At 41.9% G+C, this 22,607-nt stretch overlaps 1 protein-coding gene across 53 annotated transcripts in view, besides 1 other annotated feature; it reads left to right on the top strand.

Moving 5' to 3' along the window:
- MELK (maternal embryonic leucine zipper kinase) overlaps nucleotides 1-22,607 on the top strand; it is a 104,788-nt gene that overhangs the window by 16,905 nt on the left and 65,276 nt on the right. For 29 of the 53 annotated variants that reach the window (XM_011518076.3, XM_047424171.1, XM_047424168.1 and 26 more), the window contains 4 exons: nucleotides 4,829-4,972; nucleotides 7,423-7,491; nucleotides 9,595-9,687; nucleotides 17,776-17,874. In XM_011518076.3, the coding sequence (XP_011516378.1) occupies nucleotides 4,829-4,972; nucleotides 7,423-7,491; nucleotides 9,595-9,687; nucleotides 17,776-17,874 (405 nt within the window). Of the gene's footprint in view, nucleotides 1-4,828; nucleotides 4,973-7,422; nucleotides 7,492-9,594; nucleotides 9,688-14,190; nucleotides 14,314-17,775; nucleotides 17,875-22,607 lie in introns of all 53 variants that reach the window. The other 24 variants (XM_047424173.1, XM_047424192.1, XM_047424185.1 and 21 more) reach the window with 4 other exon arrangements.
- Nucleotides 6,626-6,793: a silencer, noted in NCBI's record as "fragment chr9:36596422-36596589 (GRCh37/hg19 assembly coordinates)". NCBI's record gives its function as "represses an EF-1alpha promoter that drives an FKBP-Casp9 reporter gene in an ReSE screen in K562 erythroleukemia cells {active_cell/tissue: K562}" and the evidence as "EXISTENCE:reporter gene assay evidence [ECO:0000049][PMID:32094911]".

The raw sequence follows: 22,607 nt of genomic DNA on the forward strand, positions 1-22,607 counted from the left end.
TATATAATAAGTTGGAGATTCAATGTAAATGTCATTTTTCTAATACACCCCTAATGGGGTAGTATGGTTTACTAGATAGAATATGTTAGAATTTTCTCCTAGAGGGAAGGACTCATTCTAGTTTTTTTTTTTTTTTTTTTGAGACGGAATTTCGCTCTGTCGCTCAGGCTGAAGTGCAGTGATGCCATCTCTGCTCACTGCACCCTCCACCTCCCGAGTTCACGCCATTCTCCTGCCTCAGCCTCCTGAGTAGCTGGGACTACAGGCGCCCACCACCATGCCCGGCTAATTTTTTATATTTTTAGTAGAGACGGGGTTTCACGTGTTAGCCAGGATGGTCTCAATCTCCTGACCTTGTGATCTGCCCTCCTCGGCCTCCCAGAGTGCTGGGATTACAGACGTGAGCCACCGTGCCCAGCCTCATTCTAGTTTTATATGGTATATTAATTTCCTAGGGCTGTTGGAACAAATTACTACAGACTTGGTGGCTTAAAGCAACAGAAACTCATTGTCTGACAGTTCTGGAGGTTTGAAGTCTGAAATCAAAATGTTGGCAAGGCTGGTTCCTTCTGGAGGTTCTGAGAGGGAATCTGTTTCCTGCCTCTTTGCTAGTTGTTGGTAGTTGCTGGCAGTCCTTGGCACTCCTTGGTTTATAGATGCACCACTCCCATCTTGGCCTCCGTCTTCAAATGGTGTTTTCCTCTCTGTGTAGCTGTGTCTCTGTCCAAATGTCTCTCTTCTTAAAAGGACCCAAGGTTTAGGCTTACCCTGATCCAGTGACAGTTCAACCCCCAGCACTGGGTAGCTTCCAGTGTCTTTTATGTAAACCAAGCAATTTCAAGTTTTAACTTGCCATTTTTGTCTTGAAAGATGTCTTTAGAACTTGTATTATTCAACTTCTTTAGTTTTCGTTAGTCTCAGCCAAATAATATGTAATTTGCACATGATTTTCACAGGATAGCACTGTTTTAAAAGCATATTTTAAAAATCATAATTTTGGCCGGGTCCTCTCATGCCTATAATCCCAGCACTTTGGGAGGCTGAGGCGGGAGGATCATTTGAAACCAGTGGTTTAAAACCAGCCTCAGTAACATAGCAAGACCCTGTCTCTACATACAAAAGAAAAAAGAAAAAAAAAAGCCGGGTGTGATGGCGCGTGGTGCGCACCTGTCATTCCAGCTCCTCAGGAGGCTGAGGCGGGAGAATTGCTTGAGTCCAGGAGTTTGAAGCTGCAGTGAGCCACGTTAATGGCACTGTACTCCAGCCTGGGTGACAGAACAAACCCCTGTCTCTAAAAAATAAAAACAAAAAAATTATAACGTTGAATGTTTTGGATCTAGAGCTATTGTATAGTAGTACATTGTATTACTACACTGTAGATCTACCTACATGGTCCACATTTTAAAACCTCTTTGATTTTAAAACCTCTTTGGTAATTTTAAAACCTCTTTATATTTTTAGGTGATCCCTTTGTTCAAATAAAATTCTTAGGGCCAGGCGCAGGGGGTCACGCTTGTAACTGCAGCACTTTGGGAGGCCAAGGCTGGTGGATTATTTGAGGCCAGGAGTTCAAGACTAGCCTGGGCAACATGGGAAAACCGCATTTCTACAAAAAATACAAAAACTTAGCCAGTTGTGGTGGTGCATGCCTATAGTCCCAGCTACCTGGGAGGCTGAGGTAGGAGGATCACTTGAGCCTGGGAGGCAGAGCTTGCAGTGAGCTGAGATCATGCCACTGCACTCCAGCCTGGGTGACAGAGCGAGACTCTGTCTCAAAAAAGAAAAAGAATTGTTAAAATCTCCCAAGCATCCATGAACCTAGGAGAAAATTTAAAAGGTACAAGAGAGTGGCCGGGTGCAGTGTCTCGTGCCTGTAATCCCAGCACTTTGGGAGGCCAAGGTGGGAAGATCACTTGAGCTAAGGAGTTCGGGACTAGCTTGAGCAACATAGTGAGACCTTGTTTTTACTTAAATAAAAAAAGAAAAAAAGGCTGGGTATGGTGGTGCACACCTGTAGTCCCAGCTACTTGGGAGGCTCAGGTGAGGAGCCTGGGAGATATAGGCTACAGTGAGCTATGATTGCACCACTGCACTCCAGCCTTGGCAACAGAGTGAGACCCTGTCTCAAAAAAAAAAGGTACAGGGAGTATATATTAAAAAACAAAATCCTCTCTTTCCCCTACATCCCAGTCATCCAATATTCTTTAATTTTTAAATTTTATTATATTGTTAATAGAAATGGGGGTCTTGGCCTGTTGCCCAAGCTGGTCTTGGACTCCTGGCCTTAAGCGATCTTCCCTCCTTGGCCTCCCAAAATGTTGGGATTACAGGCGTGAGCAACTATGCCCCACCCTAGTCATCACATTTCTTTTCTTTTTTTTTTTTTTTTTTTTGAGACGGAGTCTCACACTGTCTTGAGTGCTGGAGTGCAATGGCGTAACCTTGGCTCACTACAACCTCCGCCTCCCGGGTTCAAGTGATTTTCCTGCCCCAGCCTCCTGAGTAGCTGGGATTGTAGGCACGTGCCATCACCCCCGGTTAATTTTTGTATTTTTTAGTAGAGACGGAGTTTTACCATGTTGGCCAGGCTGGTCTCAAACTTCTGACCTCAGGCAATTTGCCCACTTCAGCCTCCCAAAGTGCTCGGGATTACAGGAGTGAGCCACCGCGCCCGGCCCTCAAATTTTCTTTTCTCTGAGCCATTCATGTACTTTTCTTGTGTCTCTTGTAGATACCTACATATATTTTATACGTATGTGTATTTTATATGTGTGTGTGTGTAGCTTACACACACATGGTGTGACACAAATGGTCACAAATTATTACTTTGCACCTTGTTTTTTTCCCAGGTAACAATTGATCTTAGAGACCATCTGAGCACATTCAGATATTTTAGACATTTTTATTTCTCTTTATTTTGTATTTCTTTATTTGAAAATATGAAGTAGGCTGTTTTCTTTTTGTAAAACTTACTGTATAACATTAAAACATTTCCTATTGAGGTATAAATTTACATATAATAAAATGTACACATTAGGTATGCAGTTTGACAAATGTATATACCCATGTACCTCCCACCCCAAAGTATAAAACATCTCTATCACCTCAGAAAGTTTTCTCCAGCCCTTTTGAAGTTTTCCCTGTAACCATAGCCACCCTGCCCTTACCAGCAACTGCTCATCTGATTTCTATCACAGCAGATCAGTTTAATCTATTCTAGACTATGATGTAAATGACTCATACAGTATTCTTTTGCTTATTCTTTTGTTAGGCTTCTTTTGCTCAGCATAATACTTTTGTAAGCCACTATATCAATCTATAGTCTTAATAACTTAGTACTGGACATTGTTTCATATCAGTTTGTAAAGAGCTTCCTCTTTTTTTTTTTTTTTTTTAATTATTGCCTAGAATTCCATTCCGTGTCATAGTTTATATAGTATCAGCATTTAGGTCTGAATGCTGTTATTCCCCACAAATTCGTATGTTGAAACTTAATCCCCAGTGTGATAGTATTAAGAGGTGGGGCCCTTTAAGGAGGTGATTAGGTTATGAGGGCAGAGCCCTTATGAATGGGATTAGTGCCTTTATACAGGAGGCTTTAGGGAGCCTGTTTGCTCCCTTCCACCATATGAGAATACATAGCACATGCCAACTGTGAGCAACAGAACCTCACTAGACACTGAATCTAGTGGCACCTTGATGTTAGACTTCCCGGCCTCCAGAAATGTGAGCAATACATTTCTGTTGTTTATAAATTACCCAGCGTAAGGTATTTTGTTATAGCAGCCCAAATGGACTAAGACAGTTGTTTCTAGTCTTTTGCTTTTACAAACACTGCTGCTGCAGTAAATGATCTTTAAGGTACGTTTTTTGTTGTTGTTGTTGTTGTTGCTGTTGTTGTTTGTTTTTTGAGACGAAGTCTCACTTTGTCACCCAGGCTGGAGTGCAGTGGTGCAATCTTGGCTCACTGCAACCTCTGCCTCCCGGGTTCAAGCGATTCTCCTGCCTCAGTCTCCTGAGTAGCTGGGATTACAGGCGCCCGCCACCACGCCTGGCTAATTTTTTGTATTTTTAGTAGAGACGGGTTGGCCAGGCTGGTCTCGAACTCCTGATCCACCCACCTCGGCCTCCCAAAGTGCTGGGATTACAGGCCTGAGCCACGGCGCCTGGCCAAAGTACTGTTTTTTGATATGAGTGAGTACATCTATAAGAGCAGTAACTAAATGTGGAACTGTGAGGTCAAGTCTATATGCATTTGTAATTTTAATTGATATTGCTAAAATGGAAACCCAGCTCACAGAAAAGTGGAGAAAGTTTTCTGTGCCCTGGGAAAGGGATGGAAAGCCTTGAGCTTTGTGCTCTGGTACCTGTTCTGCAGCCTCTGAGATACCTCTGTAGACCTGGGCTCCTTCTGGTACAGATTGAAAACCACTGGTCTTTGGGATAGAGAAACAATAATTACTGCTGGCTTTTTAAATTTCAGGTAATTACACTGAATGAGAGTACATTAAGATGAGAATGGCTTTTAATACTTTGCTATAAAAATATAAAACCCTGGGTGAGCTTTTTAAAATCACAGTGGTAGTTGGTTTTACTTCTACTTACTGGTAATAAAACTGTTCGAAGAAAGAGTTATTGTTCTCATTCCTGGAGTCATTATTGACTTGTTTGATCCTGAGAGTGTACTTTTGAATATACCTTACTCGGTTCCATTCCCTATAAAGTCGAATTAATAATATCTCTGAGTTAAGTGTACTTTTTTATTTTAAATTTCTGTGAAGTGATTTTTTAAGTTGTAACAATATCTGTGATTCCATTGCTGTTGAAGTACTGCCCTGGAGGAGAGCTGTTTGACTATATAATTTCCCAGGATCGCCTGTCAGAAGAGGAGACCCGGGTTGTCTTCCGTCAGATAGTATCTGCTGTTGCTTATGTGCACAGCCAGGGCTATGCTCACAGGGACCTCAAGCCAGTAAGTGACTGCATCACAGTTAGATGCTCACCTTCAGCGTCATTTACCTGTTATTTTTAGGTTTACAAATGATCTGATTAGGAATCTATCTTTGGTTTGCTTTTTGTTGTTGTTGCTCCAGTCATACCTATCAGATTTCTTTTTTCCTCTTACTTTTTTTTTTTTTTTTTTTGGAGGTGGTGTCTCACTCTGTCACCCAGGCTATAGTGCAGTGGTGTGATCTCGGCTCACTGCGACCTCCGCCTCCCGGATTCAAGCAGTTCCCCTGCCTCAGCCTTCTGAGTAGCTGAGATTACAGGCACAGGGCACCATGTCCGGCTAATTTTTTTATTTTTAGTAGAGATGGGGTTTCACCATGTTGGTCAGTCTGGTCATTTTTTTGGAGACGGAGTCTCACTCCGTCGCCCAGGCTGGAGTGCAGTGGCGCGATCTCGGCTCACTGCAAGCTCCGCCTCCTGGGTTCACGCCATTCTCCTGCCTCAGCCTCCCGAGTGGCTGGGACTACAGGCGCCTGCCACAACACCCGGCTAATTTTTTGTATTTTTTAGTAGAAACAGGGTTTCACTGTGTTAGCCAGGATGGTCTCAATCTCCTGACCTTGTGATCTGCCCACCTCGGCCTCCCAAATTGCTGGGATTACAGGTGTGATCCACCGCGCCCGGCCAGGCCAGTCTGGTCTTGAACTCCTGACCTCAAGCTATTCTTTCGCCCTGGCCTCCCAAAGTGCTGGGATTACAGGTATGAGCCACCGCTCCTGGCCTTGGTAGGCTTTTTGGATGCATTTATGAGCATTCTGTGTATCTGTCAATTGTGTGTGACTTTATAAATGTCTTGTTTTTTTTTTTTTTTTTTTAAGCAAGATCTCACTCTGTCACCCAGGCTGGAGTGCAGTGGCATGATCAGGGCTCACTGTAGCCTCAACCTCCTAGGCTCAAGTGATTTTCCCACCTCAGCCTCCCAAGTAGCTGGGACTACAGGCGTATGCCACCATGCCTGGCTAATTTTCTGTATTTTTATTTTATATATGTATGTATGTATTTATTTATTTTTATTTTTATTTTTGAGACTGAGCCTTGCTCTGTTATCCAGGCTGAAGTGCAGTGGCGCAATCTTGGCTCACTGCAACCTCTGCCTCTCAGGTTAAGGTGATCCTCTTGCCTTAGCCTCCTGAGTAGCTGGAATTACAGGTGCCTGCCACCACTCTCGGCTAATTTTTGTATTTTTAGTAGGCCTGGGGTTTTGCCATGTTGGCCAGGCTGGTTTCAAACTCCTGACTTCAAGTGATGCGCCTGCCTTGGCCTTCCAAAGTGCTGGGATTACAGGCGTGAGCCAGGGTACCTGGCCGGAAACTATCTTTTTCCATCTGTTTATACTGAACTCGTCGATTTCAACTCACTCTTTTGGTTTAAATTTGCTTTTGGCACAAATTGTGTTTGCTTGTAGTTGACTCTCAGAACACCAAGGAGAAAATAGGAGAAAATGGTTTATGCTAGTGAGTCTTATGGGGAAGTGATAGAGTGATCGCCCAGGCTGGAGTGCAGTGGTGCGATCTCCGCTCACTGCAAGTTCTGCCTCCCGTGTTCACGCCATTCTCCTGCCTCAGCCTCCTGAGTAGCTGGGACTACAGGCGCCTGCCACCACGCCCGGCTAATTTTTTTTGTATTTTTAGTAGAGACGGGGTTTCACCGTGTTAGCCAGGATGGTCTTGATCTCCTGACCTCGTGATCCACCCGCCTAGGCCTCCCAAAGTGCTGGGATTACAGGCGTGAGCCACTGCGCCCGGCCCTTTTTGTTTTTTTTGTTTTTTTTGTTTTTTTTGTTTTTTTTTTTTTGAGATGGAGTTTCGCTCTTGTTGCCCAGGCTGGAGTGCAATGGCACTGTCTCGGCTCACCCCAACCCCCGCCTCCCGGGCTCAAGCAGTTCTTTTGCCTCAACCTCCCAAGTAGCTGGGATTACAGGTATGCGCCACCATGCTCAGCTAATTTTGTATTTTTAGTAGAGACGGGGTTTCTCCATGTTGGTCAGGCTGGTCTCGAACTCCTGACCTCAGGTGATGTGCCTGCCTCAGCCTCCCAAAGTGCTGGGATTACAGGCGTGAGCCATTGTGCCCAGCCCTTCTTTTCCCTTATATACTTCTTGTCATTTCGTTAGTTTCTAGTCATTTTCAGTTTGTTGTACCCGGACTTTTTAACAGAAACAACCTTAAATCATTTTTACTCATTTTAATTAATTTATTTATTTTTAAAAAGTGAGACCAGGTCTTTCTGTGTTGCCCAGGCTGGTCTTGAACACCTGGGCTCAAATAATCCTCTCTCATCTGCCTTCAGAGTGCTGGGATTACAGGCATGAGCTGCCACACCTGGCCTTAAGTCATTTTTAGAAATGGCTAGAGGTGGGATGTGATATAAGGAAGTCAGTATACAGTTATCAAAATATCTTTGTTTTCCCAGGAAAATTTGCTGTTTGATGAATATCATAAATTAAAGCTGATTGACTTTGGTCTCTGTGCAAAACCCAAGGTAAGTGCAGAAATAAGATGCATCTATGTTCTTTGTAAATGCATTTATTTCTTAGTGTGTGATTTTGTCCTGACTTCCACTTATTCTTTATTGAGCTTGGTTGCATCCATTGAGAAGAATGTTAAATTTCATCCCAGGTATGGGTAGTTTTTGTAAGTTCTCTAGATGATCATAACATGCAATCAAGATTGAGAGTCACTGCCCTAGTTCTAGGATTGGTCCTGCTGAAGACTCCATGGGTATGCTGTGAGAATTTGCAGTGCAGAGGTGACTTGAGGCTATTACAGCAAGAATGCTGACTTGACCAGTGCTTGCAGTTTGAGTATATTGCCACTAGATGATGCCTTTGTTTGTTTAGATAAAAGTTGAGAATTTAGTGCAAATCTGTTATCCAAATGGTTCTATAACTAACAATTAGTTACATTTTGAGAAACAATCCGCTTTCCTTTTAAAAGAAGGAAAAAGCCCATATGCACTTCTAAATTTATAACTGTTATATATTTCCTTAATTTGCATTCCATGGTTATGTATTGGTGTTCTCCAGCATAACTTCTCTTTGAGGTGACTTTGAACTTTCTGGCTCTGCTGTCTGCAGCAGATCTCCTGTGTGGCTGCCTGTTGGAAGCTTCCTCTGGAGTTCTCTAATCATGGTACTCACAATCTCTAAAATGAGCTGTCTACACTCATTAAGAATGTTGAAATTGCAGACTTGTCTCGGGCTTTGGTAATCCCATAACTGTTTCCTGCCCTGATCAGAATTAGCTAGGTGCAAAGGGAAGCAGATTTTGCCCCTTTGGCAGAAAGTCTGATTCTTTCTGATTCTTCTCTCCTTCCCTTGGCTCTTTAGAAACTATAAGTGGAACCTTTTTTCTGGGAACCAAATGCTAGAAGGCAGGTTTTTTTTTTTTTTTTTGATTGACAAACATATAAAGAAAAAACATACTTTGAACAGATAAACTGGTTTAAGTTGTTCTCCATGGGAGGCAGTGGAGAAGGTTTGTGACAGACCCTGTGAGCCTTCATTTATGGCTGCCACGGATTACACACATAGACACCATCTAAGGAAAGTGGGGTTGCCTGGGAGAGGATTGCCTCAGCCTTCTTCCAAGGAGCACACTCCTGGGCATGTTGTTTCAGTTGTAAATGACATCTCACAATTCACAAATCCTTTGCCAGCTGTAAGAACTCTATACAGCTGTTGGACTGTAGCTTTATTTTCATTATGTCTTGGTATTTCTGTGGGAGGGCAGAGGAGGATGAGCAGATTACTCATTTTAACAGAACTGGAAGCTAAGGGAGTGATTTATAACTGCATCTAGAAAACAGACTTTCAAGGCACTGTTCTATGTAACATATTGCTTTTTTCCCTCTAAGAAAATAGAGCTCTTCTGTATTTGTGAAGATTTCATACTGGAGATAAGGTCCAGTAAATAAATTTTTCCCCCCGGGATACTTGGGGATGGAAAGACGTGGATGCTTGGATATATGCTGGGCTTATTTATGTATGTGGGTATTTAGGGAAGTATGAACCTGATTTGACTGAGCTAAGGGGAAAGGATTTGTTCATGCCAGGTTGTAGTGGTGTTGGGAATCCAGAGAAGCAGAGACCACACGTGCATGCACACATGTATACAGAGTATTGTGTTGGCTGCAGAAATCCTTTATTATGTGGGGTGGTTTTTCATCTAGCTTCTCTTTGCTTGTGCTCAAATAATTTTTATCGGCCAGGCGTGGTGGCTCATTGCCTGTAATCCCGGCACTTTGGGAGGCCGAGGCGGGTGGATCACCTGAAGTCTGGAGTTCAAGACTAGCCCAGCCAACATGGCAAAACCCCGTCTATACCAAAAATACAAAAATTAGTTGGGCATGGTGGCACGCTGCGTGCCTGTAATCCCAGCTACTCTGGAGGCTGAGGCAGGAGAATCACTTGAACCCAGGAGGCAGAGGTTGCAGTGAGCCGAGATTGCGCCATTGCACTCCAGCCTGGGTGACAGAGTGAGACTCCGTCTCAAAAAAAAAAAAAAAAAAAAAAAAGAATGTTTATCAAGGTTTAATTCTCTTAAGCGTTGTAATTAATAAGTTTCATTTTTATCTTATTGGCAGGGTAACAAGGATTACCATCTACAGACATGCTGTGGGAGTCTGGCTTATGCAGCACCTGAGTTAATACAAGGCAAATCATATCTTGGATCAGAGGTAATTATTCATTGATTAATTCATTATATAATCAGCAGACATTTATATTGGTCACCTGTAGTGAGTCAGGCACTGTGCGTTGGGGGTATAATGATGAAGTAAGAAATAATCTTGTTAATCAGAGTTCAGTCTATTTGGAGAGTGAGACATGATTACTTATAAATGAAATTAATAACTTGCAATAAATATAGTAACATATACTTATGAAGCAGGGATATTTCTGGTGTCCTTGTTGTGGCTGCTTTTGTATTAAATAGTGCCATAGTTTGGACTGGTTAGTCTAGCTGGATAGAACAAAAGACGAAGGTTCCAGGCTCAGTTTCAGAGATGCTGGTTAGCACAGAGAAAACCTGTGCTTCGTCCATCCAGAGCTGACTCTCCAAGGCCAGCAGCCCTGTGTAGGAGTCCAGGCTGAGAAGGAGTGGGATTTGCCTGATTTATATTTGCTGTATCTCAAATTATCAAATTAGCTCCTCTCATTCTCTGGAGTACTAGTTTTGCTGATGTGAGTGTCATAAGATTAAAAAAACACTTTAGTTGTGAAAAGCTCAGGAAGTGCTCAAACAGGTTTCCTATTTCAGGACATGTCCAAATCTTTTTTTGTTTTGTTTTGTTTTTTTTTTTTGAGACGGAGTCTCACTCTGTCACCCAGGCTGGAGTGCAGTGGCGCGATCTTGGCTCACTGCAACCTCCACCTCCTGGGTTCAAGCGATTCTCCTTCAGCCTCCCAAGTAGCTGGGATTACAGGCAACTGCCATCACGTTTGGCTAATTTTTGTGTTTTTAGTAGAGACGGGTTTCACCATGTTGGCCAGGCTGGTTTCAAACTCCTGACCTCAAATGATTCACCCACCTCAGCCTCCCAATTATAGGCATGAGCCACTGCGCCCAGCCTCCAAATCTTTCTTTTCTTTTGGAGATGGAGTCTCACTCTGTTGCCCAGGCTGGAGTGCAGTGGCACAATCTCCGCTCACTACAAGCTCTGCCTCCTGGGTTCACGCCATTCTCCTGCCTCAGCCTCCCGAGTAGCTGGGACTACACGCGTCCGCCACCACGCCTGGCTACTTTTTTTTGTATTTTTAGTAGAGATGGGGTTTCACCATGTTAGCCAGGATGGTCTCGATCTGCTGACCTCGTGATCCGCCTGCCTCGGCCTCCCAAAGTGCTGGGATTACAGGAGTGAGCCACCGTGCCCGGCTCTGGCCTCCAAATCTTTAATGTGCTCTTGTACAGTGTGATCCTTCAGGAAAGGAACATCACAGATAACAGCTGGTTCTGATTTTATTTGCCTATGGGATCCACTTTTGATGGAGAGCATCTTTTGGAACTAGCATAAGGAACTTTGGGAATACCAGGTTACTTCATAAAATGAGAAGATGGGAACTGTTTCCGGTGACTTTTTATTTTGATATAATCTCTAACTTACAAGATAGTGCAAGAATAGAATGAGGAACTTTGGTATATCTTTTACTCAAATTCACAGTTATTTACATTTTTCCTTATTTGCTTTATCATTCTCTATGTTTATATATATGCATGTTTTTTTTTGAATCATTTGAGAGTTAGCTAGAAATATCATATCCTTTTATTACTCAATATTTCTATATATATTTTTCCTAAAAGCAAAGACCTTTTCTTTTATAACCACACTTTAGTATCAAAATTTAACATTGATACAATTTATTTAATTCATAATTCATATTCAAATGGTATTAATTGTACCAATAATGTCCTTTATAGTTTTATTTTCCCCCCAGTCTAGGATATGGTGCAGGATGCATTTAGTTATTGCATTTAGTTATTGTGTCTCTTTAGTCCCTTTTAATCTGGAAGACTTCCTTAGGCTTTCTTTATTTTTTTTGATCTCAGCATTTTTGAAGAAGCCAGTTATTTAGTAGAATGTACATCAATTTGAATTTATTTAATGTTTCTTTATGATTAGATTCAGGTTATGTATTTTTGGCAGAAATACCACAAAAATGATGTTGTAGCCTTCTTAGTGCATTATAGGAAAGGGACCAAATGTTTTCTGAACGTTTATCATAGTCCTGGAATCATGCTGGATACTTTTTATTTTTAATTGTGGTAAAATACACATAACATAAAATTTACCATCTTAACTGTTTTAAAATGTATAGTTTAGTAGTACTGAAATACAATCACATTGTTGTGCAACCGACCTCCAGGGCTCTTTTAATTTTGCAAAACTGAAACTTTATACCTGTTAAACAATTCTTCATTTCTGCCTACCCTATTCCCCTGGCAACTACCCTTCTGCCTTCTGTCTCTATGAATTTGACTAATCTAGGAACTTCATGTAAATGGAATCATACAATATTTGTCTTTTTGTGACTGGTTATTTCACTTAGCATAATGTCCTCAAGGTTCATGCATGTTGTAGCATGTATCAGAATTTCCTTTCTTTATAAGGCTGAATAATATTCCATTGTATGTATATACCACATTTTGTTTATTCATTCATCCATTGGTAGATACTTAAATTGCTTCCACCTTTTGGCACCTGTGAATAATGTTGATAGGAATATGAGTGTACAAGTATCTCTTTCAGATCCTGCTTTCAATTCTTTTGGGTATATATTCAGAAGCGGAGTTGCTGGATCATATTGTAATTCTATTTTTAATATTTTGTGGAATCTCCATACTGTTTTCCATAGTGAGTGCACCATCTTACATTTTCACCAACAGTGTACAGGAGTTTCACATGGGCTGGGCGCGGTGGCTCATGCCTGTAATCCCAGCACTTTGGGAGACTGAGGTGGGCGGATCATGAGGTTAGGAGTTTGAGACCAGCCTGGCCAACATGATGAATCCCTGTCTCTATTAAAAATATAAAAATTAGCTAGGCATGGTGATGCGCACCTGTAATCCCAGCTACTTGGGGGTTGAGGCAGGAGAATCGCTTGAACCTGGGAGGCAGAGGTTGTAGTGAGCCGAGATTGTATCATTGCACTCCAGCCTGGGTGACAGAGCAAGACTGTCTCAAAAAAAAAAAAAAAAAAAAAGAGTTTCACATGCTGGATACCTTTAATAATTTTCAATTAAGCTCTACAGACTTTTTTTTTTTTTTTTTGAGATGGAGTTTTGCTCTTGTTGACCAGGCTGGAGTGCAATGGCATGATCTTGGCTCACCGCAACCTCAGCCTCCTGGGTTCAAGCGATTCTCCTGCCTCAGCCTCCAGAGTAGCTGGGATTACAGGCATGTGCCACCATGCTTGGCTAATTTTGTATTTTTAGTAGAGACAGGATTTCTCCATGTTGGTCAGGCTGGTCTCTAACTCCCGACCCCAGGTGATCCGTCTGCCTTGGCCTACCAAAGTGTTGGGATTACAGGCATGAGCCACCACGCCTGGCCACAGACATCCTTTTTAGTGAATACTGTTACCCTATCCCATAAGATAAAGAAGATGAAGAAACTGAGGCTCAGAAATTTGGTGCCTTTGCAGGGTCACACAGCTGGTGACTGAGTGAGATTTGAGTGGAGTGAGGTACTGTTTCCACTATTCCATTTAGTTTCCCAGAAGGAGTGATAATCGTATGCCTGATCTCACAAGATTCCTAGAGGTGATGAGAATCTGCTGATTTGAGTGTATCTGGGTTTTTCCTATGTAATTTTAAATTGTTTTCTTGTCCGTGTTAGTTCAACTTCCTGTCCTTCTCAGAGTGTCTAAAGGATAGTGGACTGAGGAGTCATTTGAGATACTTACTAAATGATGCAGAGCTCAGGGTGGTAACTCCCTCAGAGATTTTGGTTTCGTTTTCTGAGATGGGGCTTTAAGAATCTTCATTTAAAATACTAATAAAATAGTTGATTCTGATGTTCACAGTCCTGATCATGCTTTAAGGACATGTTCCATTGTAAATATCTCTAATTTCTTCAGTAATTTTTCATGGGAAATGGTTTCAGTTCTCTCTTCCTCCCAATTATTTTATCTTTTTTTTTTTTGAGACAGGGTGTCACTCTGTCTCCCAGGCTGAAGTGCAGTGGCATGACTATGGCTCACGGTAGCCTTTACCTCCTAGACTCAAGCAGTCCTCCCACCTCAGCCTCCCAAGTAGCTGGGACTACAGGTGTGCACTACCACACCTGGCTAATTTTTAAAATTTCTTTGTAGAGATAGGGTCTTGCTATGTTTCTGGGGCTGGTCTTGAACTCCTGGGCCTAAGTGATCCTCCCGCCTTGGCCTCCCAAAGTGCTGGGAGCCAGTTATTTTTTCATGTCAACTGGTAGTTTATGGATTTACTTGCATTTGCTTTGGTTTTTTTATGATTTTAGTTAATTTATTCTCATATTCAATTCAAAACAGCGAAGTAAAGGTACTTTCAGTTAACTGAAAAATGCTTTTTCTGCTTTCTTTTTTCTAATAAGTGTTGGTAGCACTATGGGGATGTTATTATCATTTTATTCCTCTTTAAGTTTAACCCTAGACATAATCTTTCTGTTGACTTCTTGTGTGTTTTTTTGTTTGTTTGTTTGTTTTTTGAGACGGAGTTTCGCTCTTGTTGCCCAGGCTGGAGTGCAATGGTGTGATCTTGGCTCACTGCAACCTCTGCCTCCCGAGTTCAAGCGATTCTCCTGCCTCAGCCTCCCGAATTGCTGGAATTACAGGCATGTACCACCCTGCCTGGCAAATTTTGTATTTTTAGTAGAGACGGGGTTTCTCCATGTTGGTCAGGCTGGTCTTGAACTCCCAACCTCAGGTGATCTGCCCACCTCGGCTTCCCAAAGTGTTAGGATTATGGGTGTAAGCCACCGCGCCCGGGCTTTTTTTTTTTTTTTTTTTTTTTTTTTGAGACAAAGTCTCGCTCTTGTCCCCCAGGCTGGAGTGCGATGGTGCAATCTCGGCTCACTGCAACCTCTGCCTCCCGGGTTCAGGCGATTCTCATTGGGTTCAGGCGATTCTCATTCCTCAGCCTTCCAAGTAGCTTGGATTACAGGCACATGCCACCATGCCCTGCTAATTTTTATATTTTTAGTAGAGACAGGGTTTGACTCAACCCTGGTGGGATTGAGTGGGAGTGGAAGGACTGCTTGAGTCCAACAGGACCATATTGGCCAGGCTGGTCTCGAACTCCTGACCTCAGCTGATCCGCCCACCTTGGCCTCCCAAAGTGCTGGGATTACAGGCGTGAGCCACCATGCCTGACCCTTTTTTTTGAGACAGGGTCTCACTCTGTCACTCAGGCTGGAGTGCAATGGCGTGATCTTGGCTCACTGCAACCTCCACCTCCCGAGTTCAAGCGATTCTCCTGCCTCAGCCTCCCGAATTGCTGGAATTATAGGCATGTACCACGCCGCCTGGCAAATTTTGTATTTTTAGTAGAGACGGGGTTTCTCCATGTTGGTCAGGCTGGTCTTGAACTCCCAACCTCAGGTGATCTGCCCGCCTTGGCTTCCTAAAGTGTTAGGATTATGGGTGTGAGCCACTGCGCCCAGCCATTATTTATTTATTTATTTTTTTGAGACGAAGTCTTGCTCTTGTCCCCCAGGCTGGAGTGCAATGGCCTCCTGAGTAGCTGGAATTACAGACATGCACCACCACACCTGGCTAATTTTTTTATCTTTTTAGTAGAGACAGGGTTTCACCATGTTGGCCCTGCTGGTCTTGAACTCCCTACTTCAGGTGATCTGCCTACCTTGCTTCCCAAAGTGTGGATTACAGGCATGAACCACCATGTAGTTCACTCTTTCCTGTGCAACCTCTTTGCTTTGAATTTTTTTTGAGATGGAGTCTCGCTCTGTTGCCCAGGCTGGAGTGCCATGGTGTGATCTCAGCTCACTTCAACCTCTACCTCCCGGGTTCAAGCAATTCTCCTGCCTCAGCCTCCCATGTAGCTGGTATCACAGGTGTCCACTACCACACCCGGCCAAATTTTGTATTTTTAGTAGAGATGGAGTTTTACCATGTTGACCAGGCTGGTCTTGAACTCCTGACCTCAGGTGGGAGGTGGCTGGTTTTGGCCTCCCAAAGTGCTGGGATTATAGGTGTGAGCCACTGCACCTGATCTGCTTTGAATTTAATACCATGAATGAGTGTCATACCATCATGTCTCAATTTATAGATTAAATATTTGACATCTCGGAGGCGTAAATGGTCAATTTCTGACCTCCTGCAACTTGGAAGAGTAATCAAGTGTTTGCTTCAAAGCAAATTGTTCACTTGAGACGTCATAGTAGAGTCCTAATAATTTGATATGATTTGGTAGACAGGACTAGGGGTTAGATTTGGCTTATCTAGTATAAGTACTACCCAGATATGTGATGCTGCTCAAGTTATTTTAACTGTTTTCTCTTTCTTTTCTTTCTTTGTTTTCTTCCTTCCTTTCCTTCTTTCCTCTTTTTCTTTTTTTGCTCTTAAAACTTGCCTAAGCCTGGGAGGCAAATGTTGCAGTGAGCTGAGATTGTGCCACTGCACCCCAGCCTAGGCAACAGAGTGAGACCCTGTCTCTAAAAAAAAAAAAAAAAAATTTCCTAAGGCTCAAATGAGAGTAAGAGCTGTGACTTCTCCTCAGCTAATGGTGGCATCATTACTGACTAAGGCCAAATACTGCTTGAACAAATAGTTACTGCTTAGGACTCATGGGACACATGGATATCACATATAAAGGTTAAGCTCTTTTCTGGGATTTTGAGATTTGTAGGACTATTTGTGCTGGTAGGCTAATTTCTAGTGTCTCTCTCTCTCTCTATGTATATATACATATATATTTGAGGTTTGTAGGACTATTTGTGCTGGTAGGCTAATTTCTAGTCTATATGTATATATAATATATACATATGTATAGGTGTGTATATAATATATACATATGTATAGGTGTGTATATAATATATACATATGTATAGGTGTGTATATAATATATACATATGTATAGGTGTGTATATAATATATACATATGTATAGGTGTGTGTATATATATACATATGTATAGGTGTGTATATAATATATACATATGTATAGGTGTGTATATATATACATATGTATAGGTGTGTATATAATAAATACATATGTATAGGTGTGTATATAATATATAATATATACATATGTATAGGTGTGTATATAATATATAATATATACATATGTATAGGTGTGTATATAATATATACATATGTATAGGTGTATATATGGACATATATGTATATATGGACACATATGTATATGTATATATGGACATATATATGTATACATGTATGCATATATGTATATATGGACATGCATGCATATATATGTACATATATACATATATAATATATATAATAAATAATCTATATAATATATATAAATAAATGATATATATTTTTAGATGGAGTTTCACTGTGTCGCCCAGGCTGGAGTACAGTGGCGTGATCTCGGCTCACTGCAACCTCCGACTCTTGGATTCAAGCGATTCTCCTGCCTCAGCCTTCCGAGTAGCTGGGACTGTGGGCATGCGCCACCATGCCCGGCTAATTTTTGTAGTTTTAGGAGAGACGGGGTTTCACCATGTTGGCCAGGCTAGTCTCAAACTCCTGACCTCAGGTGATCCACCCGTCTTGGCCTCCCAAAGTGCTGGGATTACAGGCATGAGCCACCAGGCCCGGCCACCTCTACATTTGAAAAGTCAATCATTGAACTTTATTAAAGTTCTCTACATAGAATTTTATAGTACAACTTAGTCATACTTGCTGATTATCAATAAATTTTAAGACATCCTCATGCCTGTTTACATAATCTTCATATGTAACCTAAACCTTCAGTAGCACTGTAGAATTGTCTCATCTTCTTATCATGTCCAATCCAGCCCAGCCTACTGGAAATTATTTTCTGTTAAGTGTTAGAGTCCAGCTGGAGGAGAGTGCATTAAATTGGAAGTCAGGAGGTCTTCCTGGGTGGCCTCCAATTGACTGGGTGACTTTAGGCAAGCCTCCTTAGCTTCAGGTTCTCTGACTATAGAATAAGCAGGTTGAAATGGTTGATATCTGAGTTCTTTTTTAGCTTTGCGACAATTCTGTGATTGGATCAAGAGTCCTACCATTCTGAAATATGTTTGAATTTTTGTTTCAGTAATTTTTCTTTTTCCCTCTTTCTCTCAGGCAGATGTTTGGAGCATGGGCATACTGTTATATGTTCTTATGTGTGGATTTCTACCATTTGATGATGATAATGTAATGGCTTTATACAAGAAGATTATGGTGAGTATTACAAGGCATAGAATTTCAATGTAGAACTTTTCTATACCGAATAGTATATGCTTTCATTCATAAATGTACAAAAACAGGCATAAAAGTTATTCTCTGCTGTTAGAAGTCAAAATCTTAGTTATTCTTTGGGAGTGGTTAAGGAGTGGGCTTCTGTTCTGTTTCTTAATCTGGGAGTTGGCTACACTTGTATACAGTAGTTTCCCCTTGTCAGCAGTTTTGCTTTCTGCGGTCTTAGTTGCCCATGGTCAACTGCGGTCTGAAAATTGGTGAGTTTGTGTAATACAGTAAGATATTTTGAGAGAAAGAGGCACATTCAGGCCGGGCGCGGTGGCTCACGCCTGTAATCCCAGCACTTTGGGAGGCTGAGACTGGCAGATCACGAGGTCAGGAGATCGAGACCATCCTGGCTAACGTGGTGAAACCCCGTCTCTACTAAAAATACAAAAAATTAGCCGGGCATGGTGGCGGGTGCCTGTAGTCCCAGCTACTCGGGAGGCTGAGGCAGGAGAATGGGGTGAACCCAGGAGGTGGAGCTTGCAGAGCCGAGATTACGCCACTGCACTCCAGCCTGGGCGACAGAGCAAGACTCTGTCTCAAAAAAAAAAAAAAAAAAAAAAAAAAGGCACATTCACATAACATTTTTAACAGTATATTGTTATAATTATTCTATTTTATTATGTTATTGTTAATCTCTTATTCTGCCTAATGTATAAATTAAACTTTATCAAACTTGTGTATATATATATATATATGGAAAGAAACATAGCACATATAGGGTTCATTGCTATCCGTGGTTTCCGGCATCCATGGGTGTCTTGGAAAGTATTACCTGCTGATAAGGGGGACTACAGCATTCAGTTTTTGAAAACTCATTGAGGTGTACTCTTACGTTATACAAACTTCTTTTTTTTTTTTGGAGATGGAGTTTTGCTCTTGTTGCCCAGGCTAGAGTGCAATGGTGCGATCTTGGCTCACCGCAACCTCTGCTTCCCAGGTTCAAGCGATTCTCCTGTCTCAGCCTCCCTAGTAGCTGGGATTACAGGCATGTGCCACCACGCCCGGCTAATTTTTTGTATTTTTAGTAGAGTCGGGGTTTCTCCATGTTGGTCAGGCTGGTCTCGAACTCCCGACCTCAGGTGATTTGCCTGCCTCGGCCTCCCAAAGTGCTGGGATTACAGGCATGAGCCACCGCACCCGGCCCAATATATAAACTTCTATACATATACTTCTTCAATGAAAAGCTTAACAAAATAAAAACAGAATGCTGTGTCAAATCACATTTTCCTTTTGACTTATAAAATAAGAACCTCCTCTTTTCTTTTTTTGGAAGATAAAATTTTGGCTTCAGGTTATAATAAAACCACAATTGAGATCACCTACTGTAAGCTTTGTTAAAATCCTATATATCAGAGACAGAGAGTAGATAAGTTGTTGCTTGGGGTTAGGGGTGGAGAGTGACTGCCTGTGAGTATGGGTTTTCTTTTTGGGATGATGAAAACATTCTGGAATTAGAAAGAGGTGATGATTACACAACTTTGTGAATATACTAAAATCTACACTTTAAAAGGGTAAATATTATGGTATGTGAATTATGTTCAGTTAAAAAATCAAAAAAATCACAGGAAGGAAAATAGGAAAATTATTTCAAAGCAAACTAACAAAAGAAGACATGTAAAGAGGAAGAAAGAACATCTTGTGTTCCATAGCAAACTGAGGTCAGACTAGCAGAGCAGCATCTCTGAATGCTTCACTCTCTTTCTTCTTCTTTTTTTTTTTTTTTTTTGAGATAAGGTCTTGCTGTGTCACCCAGGCTGAAGTGCAGGAGTGCGATCATGGCTCACTGTAGCCTTGACCCTCTGGGCTCAAGTGGTCCTCCCACCTCAACCTCCCCACTAGCTGGGACCACAGGCACTGCACCACTACATCCGGCTAATTAAAAAAATTTTTTTGTAGAGATAGGATCTTCCCTATGTTACCCAGGCTGGTCTCAAACTCCTGTGCTCAAGTGATCCTCCCACCTCAGCCTTGCAAAGTGCTGAGATTACAGGTGTGAGCTACTGTGCCTGGCCTTCTGAATGCTTCTTGAATCCAATTCTGTTTAACAAATATTTCCTGAATTTCTGCTTTATATAAGATGCTGAAAGGCATAGAAAAGATCTATGAAACTTTATTATTGTCCACCAGGGCCTGATCTCTTGTTGGAGACAGGTATAAGCTATCTAAAAACGGCAAAGGGTGAGGAATGCCATATTATAACAGAGTGTAAATGAAATTAATACAGGAGTTGGGGTGGCTCTGGGAGGGCATCTTAGAGGAAGTGAGGTTTGAGCAGGTCTTTAAAAGAAGGGTGGAAGTGTTTCAGAAAGGGATGTGGGCAAGAGCATTCCTGATAGTACAGGTAGCATGAGCAAAGGCATAGAAGTGGGAGAGACGTGGGGAGGAATGGGCAGTTTTTTGTAGCTGGACCATTGGATCTCTAACAATTAGATGAGGAGACTACCTAAAGCAACTCTCACTTCTAGGAAGTAGCATACAGTGTTGAAAGTGGTAGACCCAGTTGGCTTGTTGCCCACTCCATAGAACACCAAGTCTAAGGACACTGAGTTCAATCTTCAACTTTTATTTGACTTATAGTTTTTCCTATATCCCACCTTGGAAGATTCTTTAAAGTTGATTCCCAAGCTTCAGAGAATAGCTTTGGAAAGAGATGGAATTGCAATAGTTCCAACTCCTTGAAGACTGAGGAGCTCTGATTCTGCAGGATCAAAAAGAAGCAGTGTGAGCGGTAGCTATTAACACCGCTTTGGGGACCCATGTGTGTCCAGGCTTCTCCTTGTGAAGGGGAGATAAATGAGGCAGTGGGCTGGAGGCCGGCCTCCTAGAGCCTGCTGCTGTAGCCAAGACAGCTTGTTTTCCTCCTGTCACTTCTTGAGCTTTCTTGAACTTTGCTGGGTAGCACTCGTTGCTTTGGCTTCTGCATGCTGACTGTGGCAGCAGTTCCTGACTCCATAGAGCCATACCTGACTGCATCCACATCAGGATACAGGGGAGAGTAGGGTTAGGATCTTTTTGTGGCTTTAGCTCCAGTCAACAGAAGTGGTCTTTGGGCAGCTCAGTAACATTTATCCAGTTATACTTTTACAAAATATTAGGTTGGCCTCTTGAATTCTTCCCTCTTTTTGCTACTTTTTTCTGTAAAGTAGGGCTGTGTTTTTTATTCTGAAATAATTGTATTCTAGTATAGGTTGAGTATCCCTAATCTGAAAATCCAAAATTTGAAATGCTCCAAAATTTGACACTTTTTGAGTGCTGAGTTGATGCTCAAAGGAAATGCTTACTGGAGCATTTCAGGTTTTGGATTTTCGGATTTGGCATATTCAGTCAGTAAGCGTATAATGCACATATTCCAAAGCCTGAAATCTGAAACACTTCTGTTCCCAAGCATTTGGGTAAGGGATACTCGGCTTGTATTATAAGCTGCTAGGATATTTTACCCTATTCTTGTTTTGGGAACTCCATCCCAAAGAAATAAGCTGACAGATTTCTCCAAAGTGAACTAGAATTGAATCTGCTAGCTGGTGTAACACGGAATATTACACCTCCTAGACTTCTAGAAAGACTGTGGAAACAGATAATGGTAGAATTTCACTGTTGGAAAGCACCTGGGAAATCATGTTTTCTGACCCTTGTTGCTTGTTTTATATTTAATCCTCACTAAAATGTCTCCTGCCTTGGCTATGTCCATGTACTCTCTCTCAGGGTGGGGAAAGTTAGCTAATGGATTTAATTCTTCCTAACCATAGTTGCACATTAGAATTGCTTGGGGTGCTTTAAAGAGTATTGGTTCCACCCCCAGAGCAATTAAATCAGAATATCATTGAGGTTTTTGAAATTCAGAAGCTTCAGAATCTCTACTTTCTATCTGTGGACTTTGGTAAATTATTTAGCCTCTCTGTGTCTTAGTTTCTTTGTCTGTAAAAATGGATGAAATAACACGGCATAGGGTTGTTGTGAAGATTAAATGAGTTAATCCATGAAAAGCATTTAGAGTGGTGCTCAATAAATGTAGCTATTATTATTATTATTATTATTATTATTATTATTATTTTGAGATGGCGTCTCGTGCTGTTGCCCAGGCTAGAGTGCAGTGGTTAGATTCGGCTCACTGCACCCTCCACCTCCCAGGTTCAAGCAATTCTTCTGCCTCAGCCTTCCAAGTAGCTGGGACTACAGGTGGGCACCACTATGCCTGGCTAATTTTTGTACTTTTAGTAGAGACGGGGTTTCACCATATTGGTCAGGCTGGTCTTGAACTCCTCACCTCGTGATCTGCGCTCCTCTGCCTCCCAAAGTGCTGGGATTATAGGTGTGAGCCACTGTGCCTGGCTGCTATTATTGTTTTATTTTTGTTTGTTTGTTTTGTTTTTTTCTGTGACAGAGTCTCGCTCTGTCACCCAGGCTGGAGTGCAATGGCGCGATCTTAGCTCATTGCAACCTCCGCCTCCTCAGTTCAAGCGATTCTCTTGCCTCAGCCTCCTGAGTAGCTGGGATTACAATCATGCGCCACCGTGCCTGGCTAATTTTTGTAGTTTTAGTAGGGAAGGGGTTTTGCCATGTTGGCCAAGCTGGTCTCGAACTCCTGACCTCAAGTGATCCACCACCTTGGCCTTCCAAAATGCTGGGATTACAGGCATGAGCCACCACATCTGGCAATTATTTTTGAG

This window comes from Homo sapiens, chromosome 9 (assembly GCF_000001405.40).
Source record: "Homo sapiens chromosome 9, GRCh38.p14 Primary Assembly".
Classification (NCBI taxonomy): domain Eukaryota; kingdom Metazoa; phylum Chordata; class Mammalia; order Primates; family Hominidae; genus Homo; species Homo sapiens.